We start from the raw sequence: 17,987 nt of genomic DNA, 5'->3' as shown, positions 1-17,987 counted from the left end.
GAGACGGAGTTTCACTATGTTGGCCAGGCTGGTTGCTAACTCCTGACCACAGGTAATCCTCCCACCTCAGCCGCCCAAAGTGTTGGGATTATAGGCGTGAGCCACCGCACCTGGCCTAAATCAGATTTTTTTTTTTTTTTTTTTTTTTTTGAGACGGAGTCTTACTTTGTCGCCCGGGCTACAGTGCAGTGGCACAATCTCGGCTCACTGCAACCTCTGCCTCCCGGGTTCAAGCAATTCTTCTGCCTCAGCCTCCTGAGTAGCTGGGATTACAGGCACCCGCCACTACGCCCAGCTAATTTTTTGTGTTTTTAGTAGGAATGGGGTTTCACCATGTTGGCCAGGCTGATCTCGAACTCCAGATCTCATGATTCGCCCGCCTCCGCCTCCCAAAGTGCTGAGATTACAGGCATGAGACCCTGAGCCCAGCCTAAATCAGAATTTTAAAACACAAATAATCGATTCTTCTAAGTGGTGATTTCATTTAGTTACCCAGTCCAGGTTCTTTTTTGGAAAATAGCCTGAAAACAGTGTTTCTGTGAATTGTTCATTTATGCATTATTTTGGGATGTTACATGGAAACTTTGTACCCCAAAATCACCATACGTAATAAATAGTCTGAAATTTTATAGCTAAGCTTTATTATGGGTTATATGATCTCTCAATTATTCAGAATAGGTTTCACAGTTAACATTTATACCTCTTATTACCTGGCACAGTGCCTTATACCTAATAATGTATTTTAAAAGTTGAATTGCTTCTAACTTTTACTGTTTTTGTTTTTAGAAAAGGTATAGTTTGGCAGTGGGGCCTCCAAAAAAAGACCCAAAAGTTAAAGGTGTCCAATCAGCAGCTGTACAAGCTTTTCTTAAAAGGAAAGAAGAGGAGCTGAGACGAAAAGGTATGTATCTATAGCCTTATTCTCAATTTTAAAGTATTCCATCTTCACCATCTAGCTTGTACTAAACCAGTGGCTGTCTATAAAAACATAACAGGCCAACAGATTTGGGAGGGTGTGTGTGTGTGTGTGTGTGTGTGTGTGTCCAGGTTAACTGACTGTATTCATGGCTTTACATATGTTACCTCGATCATTTGTATAAACGTTTTCTTTTTTTCTCCCCTTGAAGTAACAGCTTTTTGGGGGTTAGTAGCCATGTCTTCTAATTGGCCATAGTAAGTCCCCAGTAAGAACTCCATTCTTTCTTTAATCTTGGTTCTGAAAGTGTTTCTACCCATTTTGTATTTTAATTTTTATTAACAGAATGCTATCTAAAAGGCTAAAATAGAGATAAGTTTTAAAGTCTTTATTTCGAATAGTTCTACTTCATGCAAATACAAAGAAACTGATTCAATATGTTTAAGTATTCATTGAATCATAATTAATAACAACTACTAAGTGGATACTAATGTTCTCTTAACTTGGTAATGTATTTGGTTTGAAGTATTTTGTATATTTAAAGCTGAAAACCAAGTCTCCCACTTGCTTAGTCATATAGAAAAACCCATATGTCTCCCACTCATTATGTAAAGATGACTCAATTGATACTTGTTCACATGACTTCCTCATTTGATTCCTAGATGTCTTCAAACTGTAACCTGAACGTTGTGTTTTCACTTGAGCATACTGCAATCTTGAGATCTCGAAGTAATAACATATTCTTGTTTTGTCCCTTTTAGCCTTAGAGGAGAAAAGGAGAAAAGAGGAACTAGTGAAAAAGCGAATTGAGCTCAAACATGACAAGAAAGCAAGAGCTATGGCCAAGAGGACAAAGGATAATTTCCATGGTTACAATGGGATTCCTATTGAGGAAAAGTCAAAGAAGAGGCAGGCAACAGAAAGCCATACCAGCCAAGGAACCGACCGAGAGTATGAAATGGAAGAAGAGAATGAATTCCTCGAGTACAATCACGCAGAGTCAGAGCAGGAGTATGAGGAAGAGCAAGAACCTCCCAAAGTTGAAAGCAAACCAAAGGTCCCCCTTAAAAGTGCCCCACCACCCATGAACTTCACTGATTTACTCAGGCTGGCTGAGAAAAAGCAGTTTGAACCAGTGGAAATCAAGGTAGTGAAGAAATCAGAAGAGCGACCTATGACCGCAGAAGAACTTAGGGAGCGAGAATTCCTTGAACGAAAGCATAGGAGAAAAAAACTTGAGACAGATGGAAAACTACCTCCAACTGTGTCCAAAAAGGCACCCTCTCAGAAAGAAAGTGTGGGCACAAAACTTAGCAAAGGTTCTGGAGACAGGCATCCTTCTTCCAAAGGAATGCCCCTTCCTCATGCTGAGAAGAAATCAAGACCCAGCATGGCCAATGAGAAACACCTCGCTTTGTCTTCATCCAAATCCATGCCAGGAGAGAGGATCAAGGCAGGATCTGGCAATAGCTCCCAACCCTCACTTCGTGAGGGCCACGACAAACCTGTTTTTAATGGAGCTGGAAAGCCTCATTCCAGCACCTCTTCACCAAGTGTCCCAAAGACTTCTGCTAGCAGGACTCAGAAATCTGCTGTTGAGCACAAAGCCAAAAAATCTCTGTCCCATCCTAGCCATTCCAGGCCTGGGCCCATGGTCACCCCACACAATAAGGCTAAGAGTCCAGGTGTCAGGCAGCCAGGCAGCAGCTCTAGCTCAGCCCCTGGGCAGCCCAGCACAGGGGTTGCTCGACCCACAGTTAGTTCTGGCCCTGTGCCTAGGCGCCAGAATGGCAGCTCCAGCTCAGGACCTGAGCGATCAATCAGTGGGTCCAAGAAGCCAACCAATGACTCAAATCCCTCTAGGCGGACAGTCAGTGGTACATGTGGCCCTGGACAACCTGCAAGCAGCTCAGGTGGCCCTGGGCGACCCATCAGTGGTTCAGTTAGTTCTGCAAGACCCTTGGGCAGCTCTCGTGGCCCTGGCCGGCCTGTGAGCAGTCCACATGAACTTCGACGACCAGTGAGTGGCTTGGGCCCCCCGGGGCGGTCTGTCAGTGGCCCTGGGAGATCCATAAGTGGCTCAATTCCAGCTGGACGGACTGTCAGTAATTCAGTCCCAGGAAGACCAGTGAGCAGCTTGGGACCTGGGCAAACAGTTAGTAGCTCAGGTCCCACTATAAAGCCTAAGTGCACTGTTGTCTCCGAAACAATTTCTTCCAAGAATATCATTAGCCGGTCCAGCAATGGACAGATGAATGGAATGAAGCCTCCCCTATCTGGCTACAGAGCTGCCCAAGGTAAAATTTCCCCTCACCCGAAAGAGTATATATTTGTCATTAGGAAATTGGAAAGAGTTTTTATATTATCAGGGACCCTTTGAACCCCTCATGTGCTGTCCTTTAATGTGCTGTAGTGTTGATAGAATCGTGATGTTTTATCTGCCTTGTGGTTGAGAGTTCCTTGTTTTTTTGTTTTTGAGACAGGGTCTTGCTCTGTTGCCCAGGCACAATCACAGGCTCAAGCAGTTCTCCCACCTTAGCTTCCCAGGTAGCTGGGACTATAGGCGTGTGCCACCATGCCTGGCTAACTTTTTATTTTTTATAGAGATGGGGTTTCAGTATGTTGCCTATACTAGTTTCTAACTCCGGGGCTCAGAGATCCGCCTTCCTCAGCTTCCCAAAATACTGGGATTATAGTCATGAGTCACTATTCCCTGCTGAGAGTTCCTTTAATGGCTTGGAAAGGTCTTTAGAAAGAGACTTGTCTAGGATCTCTGTGTTCACCCTTGAAATGTCCCTAAGTGTGATAAACTTAGCTTTGTGATTTGTGAACATTCAGGGTGAATGTACGTGACTTACATATGTATGCTGCAATGGATGAATTAATCTACTTTTTCCTGAGGACTAAAGAGACCTGTCTTCAAGGATCAGGGTATAATCGGAAGCTTATTCAGCAGATATTTCTTGGGCACCCATTATGTGCCAGGAACTGTTTTTAGATTGTACTTGTGTTTCTGCTTGTTATAATGGTTAGTATCAAGATCCTAAACACTGATCCTTCAGGAATCTGCTGTCCCAAGGTATATGATCATTGGTGGCACCTGCTAGCTGCTAGGTCGTACTTGCTTTATGCTAATAGAGATTTATTAAAGCACTTGTTAGGCTCCACGGAGAATATAAAAAGGAACCAATGATTGAATTACTTGTTTTAAATTTCCTAGTTCAACTAGACCATTGATTCTTAACAAGGGCAATTTTGCCCTCCAGGGGACTTTTGGCAATCGTCACAACTGGGGATGGGGGATGCCACTGGCATCTACTGAATAGAGGACAGGGATGCTGCTGACAAACAATGCATGGGATAGCCCCCTGACAGCAAAGAATTATCTGGTCCGAAATGTCATTGAGCTAAGGTTGAGAAACTAAGCTAGGGAGACAAGCCATGCATATTAAAAACAACCGTAGAAGAACAAAAGAAGTGTCTGTAATCAAAAACTAGAAAGTAGTTGTTCCCAGATCCTGGGCTGTTGATCAATGCCTGTCTTTTGCAAAGTTTTTATCAGTCTTTTGGTAAAATGACAAAAATAAGGATAATGTAGTGAGTTTTTCCTACAGTCAAACTTACTCAGTTTGAACAATATAATTCTGAGAGTCATTCATACTTCATTCAACTTTAAATTTTTAAATGAAATTGTGATTATAGTAGATGGTAGTTGCTACTTTTGGTGTCTTGGCAAAAGTTAATGATTCTGTGGAGGTTTGTAAATTGTATTTATTTTTAGAAATTTTACTGATTTTGGCCGGGCGCGGTGGCGCCGCCTGTAATCCCAGCACTTTGGGAGGCCAAGGCAGACAGATCACCTGAGGTCGGGAGTTCGAGACCAGCCTGACCAACGTGGAGAAACCCCATCTCTACTAAAAATACAAAATTAGCCAGGCGTTGTGGCACATGCCTATAATCCCAGCTACTCGGGAGGCTGAGGCAGGAGAATTGCTTGAACCTGGGAGGCAGAGGTTGCAGTGAGCCGAGATCGCACCATTGCACTCCAGCCTAGGCAACAAGTGAAACTCTGTCTCAAAAAAAAAAAAAAGAAAGAAAGAAATTTTACTGATCTTATAAATTCAGAAATATTGGCACTACTAAGCTAGAAAATGTAACAAGATATTTCTGGTAAGCCCTGGGATAAAACAGGAGTTCTGTTCCTTCTGGATACCATGACACAGCAAGGATGATGGCTCTGCGCTAAGGGCCAGCCTGCTTGCTCTGGTTTTAAAGGATACCATCTTAATGATGACTCACAATTTCAGTTTACATAGAACTGCATTGGAACTATTTTAAATTGTAATATTCTTATAAATAATGGTTTCTTAGGTCCTCAAAGGCTTCCCTTCCCTACTGGTTACAAAAGGCAGCGAGAATATGAAGAGGAAGATGACGATGATGATGAATACGACTCTGAAATGGAAGATTTTATTGAAGATGAAGGAGAGCCTCAGGAAGAAATATCCAAGCACATTAGAGAAATCTTTGGTTATGACCGAAAAAAGTAAGACTAAAGAAGATTCAGATAACTATGACATCCTTTTTTTATTTTGAATAATTCATGTCATGGGGTAATAAACTAATAGTGGAGGCACTGAATACAATTCTTAATTAGGAACCCTTGGGTGATTGTTATTTAAATAAACGTACTCTTTTAGCACTAAATATTTTATATTTAATTCAAAATAGTTTCTGTAGTTATTTGCATGAGGAACAAAAAATAACCCTTTTAAATTGTTATTCTTATAAGATATATATTTAGTGAGATGGAAGCAGCTTAGTGTAGTAGAAGTAGATTGGCTCTTGAAAAAACAAGCTGTATGTTCTTGGTCAGTCTGTTAACTCAACTGCTTCAGTTTCCTCTGGTCTAAAGTCTTTCCCCACCTCATGATGGTCATGAAGCTCAAATTAGATTATTATATATAAAATAATTTTCATATATACTGTGCTTTCAAATTTTAATATAAATTATCAAGTAAATGTAGGTGAGTGAGTTGAGGAAGCACTGTAGGATTGGTACCTTCATGAACATTAGCTTCAGAATAGTTGCCCTCTGAGGGTAATAAGGGCTTATCTAAAACTTGTCTTTACTTCAGAAACCTATCCATCCTCCACTCCCCTCACTCGCTGCCAAGCAAGGAATAATTCTAAATGTGTGCTTGATTTAGTTTTAAAGGAGATATTGATTTTTTAAATGAGAGGACGTAGTTCCTTTAGAAAATTGAAGTTTTCTCTTTTTATCATTTTGATTTCCTTTTATCAGATACAAAGATGAAAGTGATTATGCCTTACGTTACATGGAAAGTAGTTGGAAAGAGCAGCAGAAGGAAGAAGCAAAGAGGTAAGCATAAAATTTAGCATACTTGTGCAAAAATGTCCTAAAAATTCCTTTCTGCTTATTGCTACAATTGCACCATTGGGAACTGGGGCTTTGGGCCAGAGAATTCTGGATTCCAATCCTGTTTACTAGCTGTGGGGCCTTGGACAAATTCCTTAACAGTTCTGTTTTTTCACTGGTTTTTGTTTTTTTGTTTTTTAACAGAGATGGGGTCTCGCTATGTTGACCAGGCTAGTCTCAAACCCCTGGCCTCAAGTGATCCTCCCATCTCAGCCTCCCAAAGTGCTGGGATTACAGGCATGAGCCACTGCACTGGACCATCACTGTTTTTTTTGTTTGTTTTGTTTTTAAGAGATGGGGTCTTGCTTTGTTATCCAGGCTGGTCCCAAAGTCCTGGGCTCAAGCAATCCTCCTGCCTTAGCCTCACAAAGTGTTGGGATTATAGGTGTGAGCCACCATGCCCAGCCTATTTTCTTTTGTAAAATGAGAATATACTGTTTTACTCATTTAAGTATAATGAGGATTAAGACGTGTACAAGATGCCTAGTGCAGTGCCTCACATGTGTGGATACACAGTAAATGTTAGATGCTTTCCCTAATCCTGTTGTAGCAAATTCTTGCTTTTCTTTCTGCATCAGACACATCTCAATCTTGGTAACCTGTAACATTGCTGGCCTCAGGGATGTAGGTATATTACATTTCCTCTGATTTCTGTTTGGCTATCTGATAGTAAGCTAATGATACTTTCTCTATTGGGGTAAAAAGTAATTACTTTGTTTATAGTATTGTTGTTTTTTTTTTTTTTTTTTTTTAAGAGACAGGGTCTTGCTCTGTCGCCAAGGCTGGAGTGCGGTGGCATGGTCACGGCTCACTGCAACCCCCACCTCCCCGGGTTCAAGCGATTCTTCTGCCTCAGCTTCCCAAGTAGCTGGGACTACAGGTGTGCGCTACCACGCCCAGCTAATTTTTGTAATTTTTAGTAGAGATGGGGTTTCACCATATGTTGGCCAGGCTGGTCTCAAACTCCTGACCTCAGGTGATCCGCCTGGCTCGGCTTCCTAAAGTGCTGGGATTACAGGTGTGAGCCACTGTGCCCGGCCATAATGTTATTATAGGTAAATAATTCACTTCAGTCTCAAGCCAGAATACTATATCTTTTTCTCCCTCTTGCCCATAAAATTTCAAACTAAAGTGTTGGAAGAGAACAAGAATAGAATGTTAGTTAATGAATAAATGCTTCTTGCTGTTTATTTTTAAAAGCTATTGAGATAAACCTATATTTTATTATTTTAATGGAAATAGTAAGGTTTTTGTGGTGTGTGAGTTCTTTTTCCCACGACAATTTGAGTCTGTGGCCCCTGGTAAAAAAATATCCCTGCTAGTTTGTTTTCAGTGGTAAAGCCTTGAGGCATTTTGAGAGCATCAGCACAATCCATGTGAGCTCCCAGTTGGAATTTTCATTCTTTTTAAGGAAAGTGGTCATCTCATGTATATTGACAAATACCCTTTAAAAATTCTTTGGCAGCTTAAGACTGGGTATGCAAGAGGACTTAGAGGAAATGAGACGTGAAGAAGAAGAAATGCAACGTCGAAGGGCCAAGAAGCTGAAGAGGCGTTAGCTGCTGCTTTTATTTTTGTGAAATTCTAGAGCTGCTCTGCTGCAAGGATTTCCTGCCTTCAGACTGAAGAAGCCCCCTTATCATTTTAGATTTATACTTGGGTACTCAAGGAGAAGGAATGCATACTGTCATTTGCAGGCTGTCATTTGAGCATAAAATATTTTCAGATATTTTCCAGGGTGAAATCTGTAATGCAGATGATATAATGCCCACTTGTGCTCTTATGAAGTTAACTGTTCACAGATGCCAGCCTTGATCCTGATGAGCTATGCACTCTAATGTGGGGCCACTCACCAGTCAGCCAATCTTTTATTGTTCCTTTGCTACTTTGAAAGGAAAAAAAAGGTTGTCTCTTGATTTCTGTAATTCTTCTGCTGATCTGTGAGTAGGGCACTGCCCTGCTCCCAATCAAACTTAGTCTTTTTATGAGAAACCTGGACCTTCCATGAATGTTGCCAGCAATAAAGTGACTTGTCCTAATCTATGGATTGAGAACTTGAAAATGTAGAGTAGAATTTATAACTATCATATGGATGTCATCCTGTGACTTTGAAGTACAAAGTAGAATAAATTCTGTATTCATGGATTGGATGCTGAGCATTCTTACTCATTAATTTAGGTGGCTAGGAATTAATGAAAAAATTTTCAAGTTAAAATACAGGTTATAACAGTATAATATTCTTTTCTAAGTTTTCCTTTCAGATTTACTGTTATGTTGGCTTTAGTGTAAGACAAGGTCACTGTGCTGATTGATTTTTATCTAAAAAAATTCATTTTTATATCGAAGAAAAAATATTTTATTCAAACATTAGATTTGAAAGAGTAATAGTTTATAAAATAAGGAAGTAACATGTGAGGCTCTCCCCTCCTCCCCTCCCCCATCATAAAGATATTTTGAAATCCCAAGGTGCCCTCATACCTCTTGACATTAATGACTTCATTTTTTAGCTTGAATTTGTTAGCAAATATTAATGGCAGAAAACCAAAAACTAAATTTATGGTATCGAGAGCACCACCTTCTCTTTTTGCCCATATTGCACTTTGATTTCAAACTATGCACTGTGAAGAGATTTTTTTCCCCAGGTAGGAAGGGATGTTCCCTGTTATCGTTATTTTACTGAGCTGTGGAAACTCATTTTTACCCTTTTTAAAGTCATAAATATGGACTTAATAGCCCTTAACCTTCAAGTCCAAGCAGTTCCAATCAGGCTGACTTAGGATCATGCTGGAAGGAAGCCAAGTCTCAAGAACTGTCAGCAACAGAAAATGAGATATGATGCTAGAGAGCATTTGTCCTTGACTGTAAGTACAGAGGCTTAGGGGAAGTGAGACATAAGCTTGTAGGAATAATAAACGTTCTACAATAAACGTTTTGGCTATCTTAAGCCATTGTATGGGGGGGATTAGGAAGTAGGAGGGATTGTCCTACAACAGGCCCTTATACTTCAACAGCCCAAATATTTTGGTTTATTCCTTTTTATCCATAAAGTCTTTATTCTTCAAGTTTGGGTATTATAGATTACCATTGTTAGCCTCCCTTAATGGGACCATATGAGCCAGGCTTTTAAGACGGACTCATTTTGAATTGAGTTTCAAACTTTGAAAGTGCAAGGATTTAATTTTTAAGTTGAATCCCATGAAAGGTGTCATCATCACTAGGAATAACACCCTTTGTAACTACATATAGAACTGTTACAATGGTAGCAGAAAATCCTATTGATTTCATCTCACCCATTTCAGATACCTTCAGTGAAATTAAGGGTAGTGTGATGTCCCATGTAATAAAACAGGCTTAGAACATCAATTCCTCTGCTGCCATTTATGTGCTTTTATTCCCCCTTCAAAAATTTTTTATTGGATATATATATTTTTCAGTATTCAGACTCTGAAATCTGTCATTACAATCAAGTGCTTGTCACAGCTGAAAGATTTCTGGTGGCTTAAAGTTTACTAGCAGTAAATTTATGATATGGTACAGTTCTTTGTACAGAAAGGCACCATTATGTTAGAATAAATTTCCAGAACTTAGTGGGAAGAATCAGGTTTTAACCTTGTGTGTCTGTTACTTCTGAGTGCATTTCTATAATATAAATGTTGATTTGCGTCAACATTATAAAAGAGCACTTCTGTGGCTCATTTAAAAGAAAAAAAAGGTTAAGTCTTTTAAATTTTGGCCTTGTTTCCAAATCCTGTCTTCCATGTTGTTTTTCTGCACTTCCTGACCACTCTTATAAAAAGCTCACAAACCTTTGAAGAAACTGGAGTAGGCTGTTATTTCATTAAGGTTTACAAATTAAATGCTTGATTTTTAATGTATTCTCTACTGTTTTGATTTTTGGATTTTCTTAATTCAACATTTGAAGATGTGCCTTTTGGGTAATGTTAATCACGAATGTAGTAATATTTCATGATTGTAATAATGTTACATGATCATGGGTGTGGCATTCTCTAACAAATGATGTGAAAGGAAAGTAGTTTTCATAAAACTCATGGCTCTGATTGCACAGTCCCACTTGCTTTTGATATTGCTATGTCAAAGCAAAGGGCACTTCTTTTAAGGCTACTTTCAGAACTTTGTATTTTCGCTAAACTATAAATGCAGTTGTGTCCAGTTGGAGGCCAGGGTACCACATGTCACAGGCGGCCTTACATGTGTGCCGTGAAAAGGTTCAAAGACCGTTAACAAAAAAGTAAGTCTGGCCGGGCATGGTGGCTCAAGCCTGTAATCCCAGCACTTTGGGAGGCCGAGGCGGGCGGATCACTTGAGACCAGGAGTTCGAGACCAGCCTGGCCAACATGGTGTGAGACCCCGTCTCTACTAAAAATAAAAAAATTAGCCGGGTGCGGTGGCACACACCTGTAATCCCAGCTACCGGGGAGGCTGAGGCAGGAGAATCGCTAGAACCTGGGAGGCGGAGGTTGCAGTCAGCCAAGATAGCACCACTGCACTCCAGGCTGGGTGACAGAGCGAGACTCCATGTCAAAAAAAAAAGAATGTGGGAACTCAAATTTTCATTTTTAATGTAATCCCCAAGATTTTCTCCAAGAAATAAATTGTTGTTTTGTATTTTGTAACTTAAAAGCAGCTATTGGTAAATTTCTGAGATATAGCAGGAGACCAAAACATGTTTGGAAAGAGAATAAATATATGAAGAGAGACTGGTTGTTTTATTTTCAATGTATTGAATATATTAGACTACTATTTATTTTCTGAGTGGATGTGATTAAATATTCAGACGTTTAGTGTATGATTAAGAGTGAGATAGAGATTTCTTTGGAGTAATTAAATCCATCCTGTCTTTTACACAATGGACAAATCAAGTTAAAAAAATTTTTAGATAGCTTAGCTTGTTTTCTGGTGCTGTTGACCTGCAAGAGAATATACTTTTGCATATACAGGTGAAAGTTTTGCAATTTATGTATACAAGAAATTGTAGGCATTAAAAATATTTTATTGATATTTTTGCTGGTTTGCATTTATTGATTAAAACTTTGAGATATTCTTTATCTCATCACCCTGAACATTTTTCCAGCTAGAAACCTCGGTATACTCATCACACTTCAGAGATATGGTTTGCCTATTGCACACACTCCTCTGCTTATTCTCCCTTACACATTCATGTCTGCTCTAACATGATAGAGCTTCTCTCCCCCTACCAGCTTAGAGAACTGTTCTGCTCTCTGACCCATGTTGGGAGAACTGTTAGGTGGTCAGAGCAATGGAATCTTTTAGTGGCTCAAGTTTTGGAAGTTTACTCAAATGGAGGGAGGACACAGCTGGGTATATGGTTCCTCTTGTCAAAATGAGCAGGGTCCTATCTCTTATGATAAAAGCAGCTTGAGATGGCTGAGAAGAGGAGTCCTTAGAAATGTATATGAGGCAGGCTGGGCACAGTGGCTCACACCTGTAATCCCAGCACTTTGGGAGGTAGAAGCAGGTGGATCACTTGAGGCTGGGAGTTCGAGACCAGCCTGGCCAACATGGCAAAACTCCGTCTCTACTAAAAATACAAAAATGTGGCGTGCGTTGTAATCCCTGCTACTCAGGGGGCTGAGGTATAAGAATCACTTAAACCTGGGAGGTGGAGGTTGCAGTGAGCCGAGATTGCACCACTGCACTCTATCCTGGGTGACAGAACGAGACTGTCTCAAAAAAAAATGTATTACGAGGCAAATGGGCAGAGCTATACAGCCAGAGGATGTAAGTACTTAACTCACTGGAAAATGTTGAGTCTAAATCACATAAGAAATAGAAGATGCTAGTATCCTAGAGTCAGAAATTACTAAAGTTTTGCTTATGGATTTTGAATTTATTTTCTTTCCATTAAAAAAAGGTAATCCATTAATTGCAAAGAGCCACTTACAAATAGTTAAGCAAACTTCCCAAATAACAAAATGTTTTCTATGTAAACAAAAGATCTGCTTTGCTGGAAAAGGTATACTTCTTTTGAATACTGGAACTGTATCAGTCATCCTCAGAATGGGTACAGTTCCATACAATTTGTTTTTAAAGTATTTACTCCTGTTAGGTCTCTCTCAGGCTCCCATCTTTTCAGTAGTCATGAAAAAGAATTATCAGGCAACTTCCTGGGTTTTCTTTTCTCTTTTTTTTTTTCTTTTTGAGACAAGGTCTTGCTTTGTCACCCAGGCTGGAGTGCAGTGGTGCAATCTCGGCTCACTGTAACCCCCACCTCCCGGGTTCAAGCAATTCTGCCTCAGCCTCCCAAGTAGCTAGGATTACTGGTGCCCACCACCACACCTGGCTAATTTTTGTATTTTTAGTAGATACGGGGTTTCACCATGTTGGCCAAGCGGGTCTCGAACTCCTGACCTCAAGTGATCCGCCTGCCTCGGCCTCCCAAAGTGCTGGGATTACAGGTGTGAGCCACCACGCCTGGCCTAACTTCTTGGGTTTTCAGGTGAGGGAGACATTTAAACAGCAAGATCTTGGATATCCCACAGTCTCTTGTTTGGCTCTTTTCCTTGGCACATGAAAGTGTGAAGGGAGAAGGCCTGGATCTTAATCTTGACTCTGCAGCCCAGGGCTGTGTGTGTTGGCAAGATAAACATGCCCCTCAACTTCATTTTTGCCATTTTGTAAGATGAGGCTAATAGCTTCAGAAGGTTATTTTAAGGATTAGGATAATTATACTTCAGTATTTAACCCTAATATTAAAAATGAGTTTCTTACCCCACATGGTATAAGCTTAGGGTTCTTTTTTTTTTTTCTTTTGAGACTGAGTCTCACTCTGTCACCCAGGCTGGAGTGCAGTGGCCGATCTCAGCTCACTGCAACCACTGCCTCCCGAGTAGCTGGGACTACAGACGTGCCACCACACCACGCCCTAGCTAATTTTTTGTATTTTTAGTAGAGACGGGGTTTCACCATGTTGGCAAGGCTGGTCTTGAACTCCTGACCCTAGATGATCCACCTGTGTTGGCCTCCCAAAGTGCTGAGATCACACGTGTGAGCCATCGCGCCAGGCAAAACTAGGTATCTTAATGCCAGTCTTAGAGACCATGTAGCAGAAGGACCCAATTGTCTCCCATCCACTCAACTACTTCCCCACCCTCTGTCTCTCTGTTACAAGCTAACAGAATACTAAGTCTTCATTCATCTTAAAAAATGCGGTAATGCCGGGCACATTGGCTCACGCCTGTAATCCCAGCACTTTGGGAGGCCGAGGCGGGCAGATCATGAGGTCAGGAGATCGAGACCATCCTGGATAACACGGTGAAACCCCGTCTCTACTAAAAACACAAAAAAATAGCCAGGCGTGGTGGCAGGCGCCTGTAGTCCCAGCTACTCTGGAGGCTGAGGCAGGGGAATGGCATGAACCCGGGAGGCGGAGCTTGCAGTGAGCCGAGATCGCGCCACTGCACTCCAGCCTGGGCGACACAGCGAGACTCTGTCTCAAAAAAAAAAAAAAAAAAAAAAAAAAAGTGCGGTAACTTCTTAACATAAAATATGACAAAATAATGTGCAATTACTTTATGTGAAACCAACAACAGGAACTGTACAGCTGGTCAGGTGAGCTTCACAGCTGCATTACTTCACCAGGATCATCCTTGCTTACTTCCACTGGAGTCTGTGGGGGAAAAAAGAAAGTGTGTGTCATGCAGGCCTAGTGGTTTCTAGTGTGGGGGCTTAGGCATTTGGCCTCCCAGGCAAGGACTGGCAGGGGAGGTTACCTCCAATTCTGTCTCACCTAATGCCTCTGATCCCGGATGCAAGGGGAGCTTAGCACTGGGGAGCTGACAAGAGGCAGAGAAAAGACAGAAATTCCAAGGTCTAGCAGGAGGAGAGAGAAAAGAGACATCTGCCACCAGATCCCTTTTACAGACTAGTGTTTACTTGTGGAAGAGAGAAGTTTGGATTTCTGAAGTGGACTGATCCTTAGGAAATGGCATCAAAGACTGGGCATACAAAATGTCCATTAGCACAACAGAGACAAGACTGCCCAACTCAGAAAGCTTTGACTCTGGGCCTTAAAGATCACGTGAAAGAAAATGGGAACCCTCCCAACAGCTACAGTAACTTTAAAAAAATAATAAAAGTATTTGTTTCTAATGTTACTAGAGTTGGATTTTCATACTTAGTTTGTTTTGGGGGCGGGAATACATTTCAAAGTAGGAATAGAGAACAAAGTTGAAGGTACACTTACCCCTCCTGGGGGATATTTATATCCCTTCCACATGGTTCCTGCAATGAGAAGCATCCATAAGACAACAATCATCATGAGGCTTCTTTCTCAGCTGGTGGTGTACCCACGAAGAAACAAGTGCTTCTGGAAGGTGCAGTGTTCTATTCCCTGAGTCGTAGGAATCCAGATGGTGGATGGCCCAGCATGGCAGCTCCTCACTAAGGAGCTTCGTGGCCTAGTCTGAATTGAAGTGGCTCCTCATGGCCATTTAGGGGGGCAGAGCTCAGACACCAATTATGATATCAGCTCCTGTAACCTTGGCAACCCAGTCAGCATGAGCACCTATGGGATGGTTGGCCAGGGTGCTAGATGCGTTGGGTTAAAGAAAATTTATCAAAAGGGCCCTGTGCTCTGGTGTGTCTGTGATTTGGACCTAGCTGGCAGTATACTCATTAACTCGTCACCTGCCAAAATGTTTAACTATTGGCTTTGTGCAATCAGATGCTATGCAAAAGAAAAAAAGCCTGGATTCATTAAGAGAATTAGCTGGCTAGGTATGCCATGAGCAAATAACTTAATATGCTATTGTTAGGCTGTTCAAAAAAGAAATCTTTCATTTTATAAAATGGTACAGTTAAACTCTTAACATGTAGGGTGAGCCTATTTACAACTTTCCTGAGAAGGGAAGAGAAGGAAGATGGGCTGTCTGTTTACTCATTTCGCAGCTGGAGAAAGTGAGGCACAGAATAGTTTAAGTGGTCTGGTCAGGACTGCCACAAAGTTCTGACTGCTTTGGGCTAATGCATTCACAGAAATCCTGGGGCAGATGGAGATAAAAACCCCAACCATCAAGTCCTGCTCTTAGTATACCTGGGGCTGGGGCTAAACACCCCTAACTTCTGGAGTAGCTTCCAAAAAACCTTCTGCTCCTGTAATCAGTATATTATTAAAACTCTCCGAGTTAAGTTTCTCTAACAATAGGCACAGCTCTGAAAAAAAACAGGTCTGAATGAAATGGGGTGAAACGTTAAGAAACCCAGGAGCTGGTCTGCTAAGGGCACTGCCATTAGTGTTTCCTGTAGGCAGGCTGGTCTAGTGGAATGAGTATGGGAGGCTATGAAGTCCAGAGACAGAGAAATGTGCTCGCATCCCACCTTTACCAACGAGCTACTGTGTGTGGCCTCAGGTAAATAGTTGAGGTCACTGTCACCAGTAAATCTTTGTTGACTGGTTCATTATTTGCTTGTTGTTAAGTTAGTATTTTACTAAATGCTAATTTTTGAGCTTTGCATTAAATGCTTTACATTAATTCCCAAATATAATCTTCACAAAAATAGTGATATCTCCTGTTGTACAGAAGAAACTTCGAAACTGAAGTTCAAAGAAACTAATTAAACTTTCCCAAGGTCACGTAGCTAGAAAGTCACAAAGTTAGGACCTAAACCCAAGTTCAATGTTAACTCCAGTTTCAGTATCTGCCAAAAGGGACGTTAAAAATGCTGGTCCTGGCAAGGCACGGTGGTTTATGCCTGCAATCCCAGCACTCTGGGAGGCCAAGGCTGGGGGACCACTTGAGGCCTGGAGTTCAAGACCTGCCTGGGCAACATAGTGACACCTTGTCTCTAAAAAAATAAAAAAAAAATTAGCCAGGCATGGTGGCATGTGCCTGAGGATCAGCTACCCAAGAAGCTGAGATGGGAAGACTGCTTGCACCTCACTCCAGCCTGGGTGGCAGAGCAAGACCTGTTTCAGAAAAAAAAAAAAAAAAAAGAATGCTATTAATAGTATAATATATTACAGTGTTGTGAGGAGAAAAATAATAGATGGGAACAGTCTTCAAAACAACACCTATGAGACATGGTTATTAATAGACAACTTTGGCCTGCTGTCCTCAGCAGTACTCACCAAATCATTTCCCCTTCCACAGTTTATTATATTTTCCAGAGGAATAAACATTCTCCACTGAGACTTCAGGGTGCTACCAAGTACTTTGGAAAGGGAGGAATCCAACCCACCAGACCTGACCACCCACTTACTGCAGCAGATCTTCACCTAAAGCCCGCCTCCTCAGTTGTGTTTTGCTCTCCTGAACAGGCCACCTCTCCTGCCACTTCAGAGTTGGAGGCTGAATCAGAAAGAAAATTTGAGGGCAGAGATGGCTCTACTCATTGGCCCAGTGGGTAACCACTCTGTGTGGTGACCAGAAGGGCTGCTAAAAGGTCCCACCAATCCCTACCGTCCCCCTTCCTACCAATAACCACTGATCCACTTGGCCTGCAATCCGCAAGTCAAATACGGTCTCCAGCAGACCCCTTGCAAATTCCATAGTGCTTTGAAACAAGTACAGCTATATATGCAAGGGAGGGGGAAACAAAAAAAGACTTAAAAGGATGTCCTGGCCGGGCGCAGTGGCTCACGCCTGTAATCCCAGCACTTTGGGGAGCCGAGGCAGGCGGATCACGAAGTTAGGAGATCTAGACCATCCTGGCTAACACAGTGAAACCCCGTCTCTACTAAAAATACCAAAAATTAGCCAAGCATGGTGGTGGGAGCCTGTAGTCCCAGCTACTCGGGAGGCTGAGGCAGGAGAATGGCATGAACCCAGGAGGCAGAGCTTGCAGTGAGCCGAGATCGCACCACTGCATTCCAGCCTGGGCGACAGAGCAAGACTCCGTCTCCAAAAAAAAAAAAAAAAAAAAAAAAAGGATGTCCCCAGCCAGGCGTGGTGGCTCATGCCTGTAATCCCAGCACTTTGGGAGGCCGAGGTGGGTGGATCACCTGAGGTCAGGACTTTGAGACCAGCCTGACCAACATGGAGAAACCCTGTTTCTACTAAAAACACAAAATTCGCCAGGCGTGGTGGTGCATGCCTGTAATCCCAGCTGCTCAGGAGGCTGAGGCAGGAGAATCGCTTGAGCCTGAGAGGCGGAGGTTGCAGTGAGCCGAGATCGCGCCACTGCACTCCAGCCTGGGCAACAAGAGCAAAACTCCATCTCAAAAAATAATAATAATAATAAATAAAAAATAAAAAAGGATGTCCCTAGTGGGATGGGAAGTAGCCCGGTAGCCTGGGACACTAACTTTGTTCCCATCACATTCTGACTTCCAGTTAGTGGTGAGACCTCAACTATCTTTCCCATTTGGTCAGAAAACCCAGACAGGAAGATGAGCCAGCACAGGACTGACCACCAGGGATTTACAGGCAGAGCCATTACTTACCATCAACTCTGGAAACGTGCCCATGTAACACACAAGTCCAACAAAAAACATCCAGCCAAGCACAATCATGATCAAACGTAAAACAATTTCTAAGATAAAATTGCACAGTGAAAGACTATTCACCAAGATCTTGGCAAAGGAGTGCGCTCACGAAACCTTCAGTTGGTAGAGGTCTCGCATGTCTGTTCGAGTCTTTGGCTCCAAAGGAT

General features: G+C 41.9%; 2 protein-coding genes across 3 annotated transcripts in view, besides 2 other annotated features; one reads left to right on the top strand and one right to left on the bottom strand.

The window, feature by feature from the left end:
- The window catches only part of SPTY2D1 (SPT2 chromatin protein domain containing 1), a 27,940-nt gene extending 16,567 nt beyond the window's left edge, over positions 1 to 11,373 (top strand). Inside the window, exons 2-6 of the mRNA NM_194285.3 lie at positions 787 to 901; positions 1,678 to 3,213; positions 5,288 to 5,462; positions 6,222 to 6,299; positions 7,822 to 11,373. Of these exons, the coding sequence (NP_919261.2) occupies positions 787 to 901; positions 1,678 to 3,213; positions 5,288 to 5,462; positions 6,222 to 6,299; positions 7,822 to 7,915 (1,998 nt within the window). The 3' untranslated portion in view covers positions 7,916 to 11,373. The remainder of the gene's footprint in view (positions 1 to 786; positions 902 to 1,677; positions 3,214 to 5,287; positions 5,463 to 6,221; positions 6,300 to 7,821) is intronic.
- Positions 964 to 2,163: an enhancer, noted in NCBI's record as "CDK7 strongly-dependent group 2 enhancer chr11:18637160-18638359 (GRCh37/hg19 assembly coordinates)". NCBI's record gives its function as "activates an origin of replication core promoter dependent on BRD2, BRD4, P300/CBP, MED14 and CDK7 cofactors, with strong dependence on CDK7, by STARR-seq in HCT116 cells {active_cell/tissue: HCT116}" and the evidence as "EXISTENCE:reporter gene assay evidence [ECO:0000049][PMID:35650434]".
- MISFA (mitochondrial sheath formation associated) lies at positions 7,902 to 17,987 on the bottom strand. 2 transcript variants are annotated; one of them, NR_038360.4, is made up of 5 exons: positions 17,779 to 17,987; positions 16,596 to 16,684; positions 14,581 to 14,618; positions 13,907 to 14,004; positions 7,902 to 8,538 (listed from the first exon to the last, which is right to left on the bottom strand). NR_038360.4 is itself a non-coding variant. In NM_001355570.4 (4 exons), exons 1-3 carry the CDS (start codon positions 17,845 to 17,847, stop codon positions 14,597 to 14,599), a joined length of 180 nt encoding a protein of 59 aa, NP_001342499.1. In that variant the 5' UTR covers positions 17,848 to 17,987; the 3' UTR covers positions 13,893 to 14,004; positions 14,581 to 14,596. The 2 variants fall into 2 exon arrangements, 1 of the variants encoding a protein (NP_001342499.1); NM_001355570.4 differs by lacking the exon at positions 7,902 to 8,538 and having other exon boundaries at positions 13,893 to 14,004.
- Positions 9,040 to 9,334: a silencer, noted in NCBI's record as "tiled region #7651; HepG2 Repressive non-DNase unmatched - State 15:Elon". NCBI's record gives its function as "represses a minimal TATA promoter and a strong SV40 promoter by Sharpr-MPRA in HepG2 cells {active_cell/tissue: HepG2}" and the evidence as "EXISTENCE:reporter gene assay evidence [ECO:0000049][PMID:27701403]".

This window comes from Homo sapiens, chromosome 11 (assembly GCF_000001405.40).
Source record: "Homo sapiens chromosome 11, GRCh38.p14 Primary Assembly".
NCBI lineage: Eukaryota > Metazoa > Chordata > Mammalia > Primates > Hominidae > Homo > Homo sapiens.
This window is presented reverse-complemented; position numbering and strand designations above follow the sequence as displayed.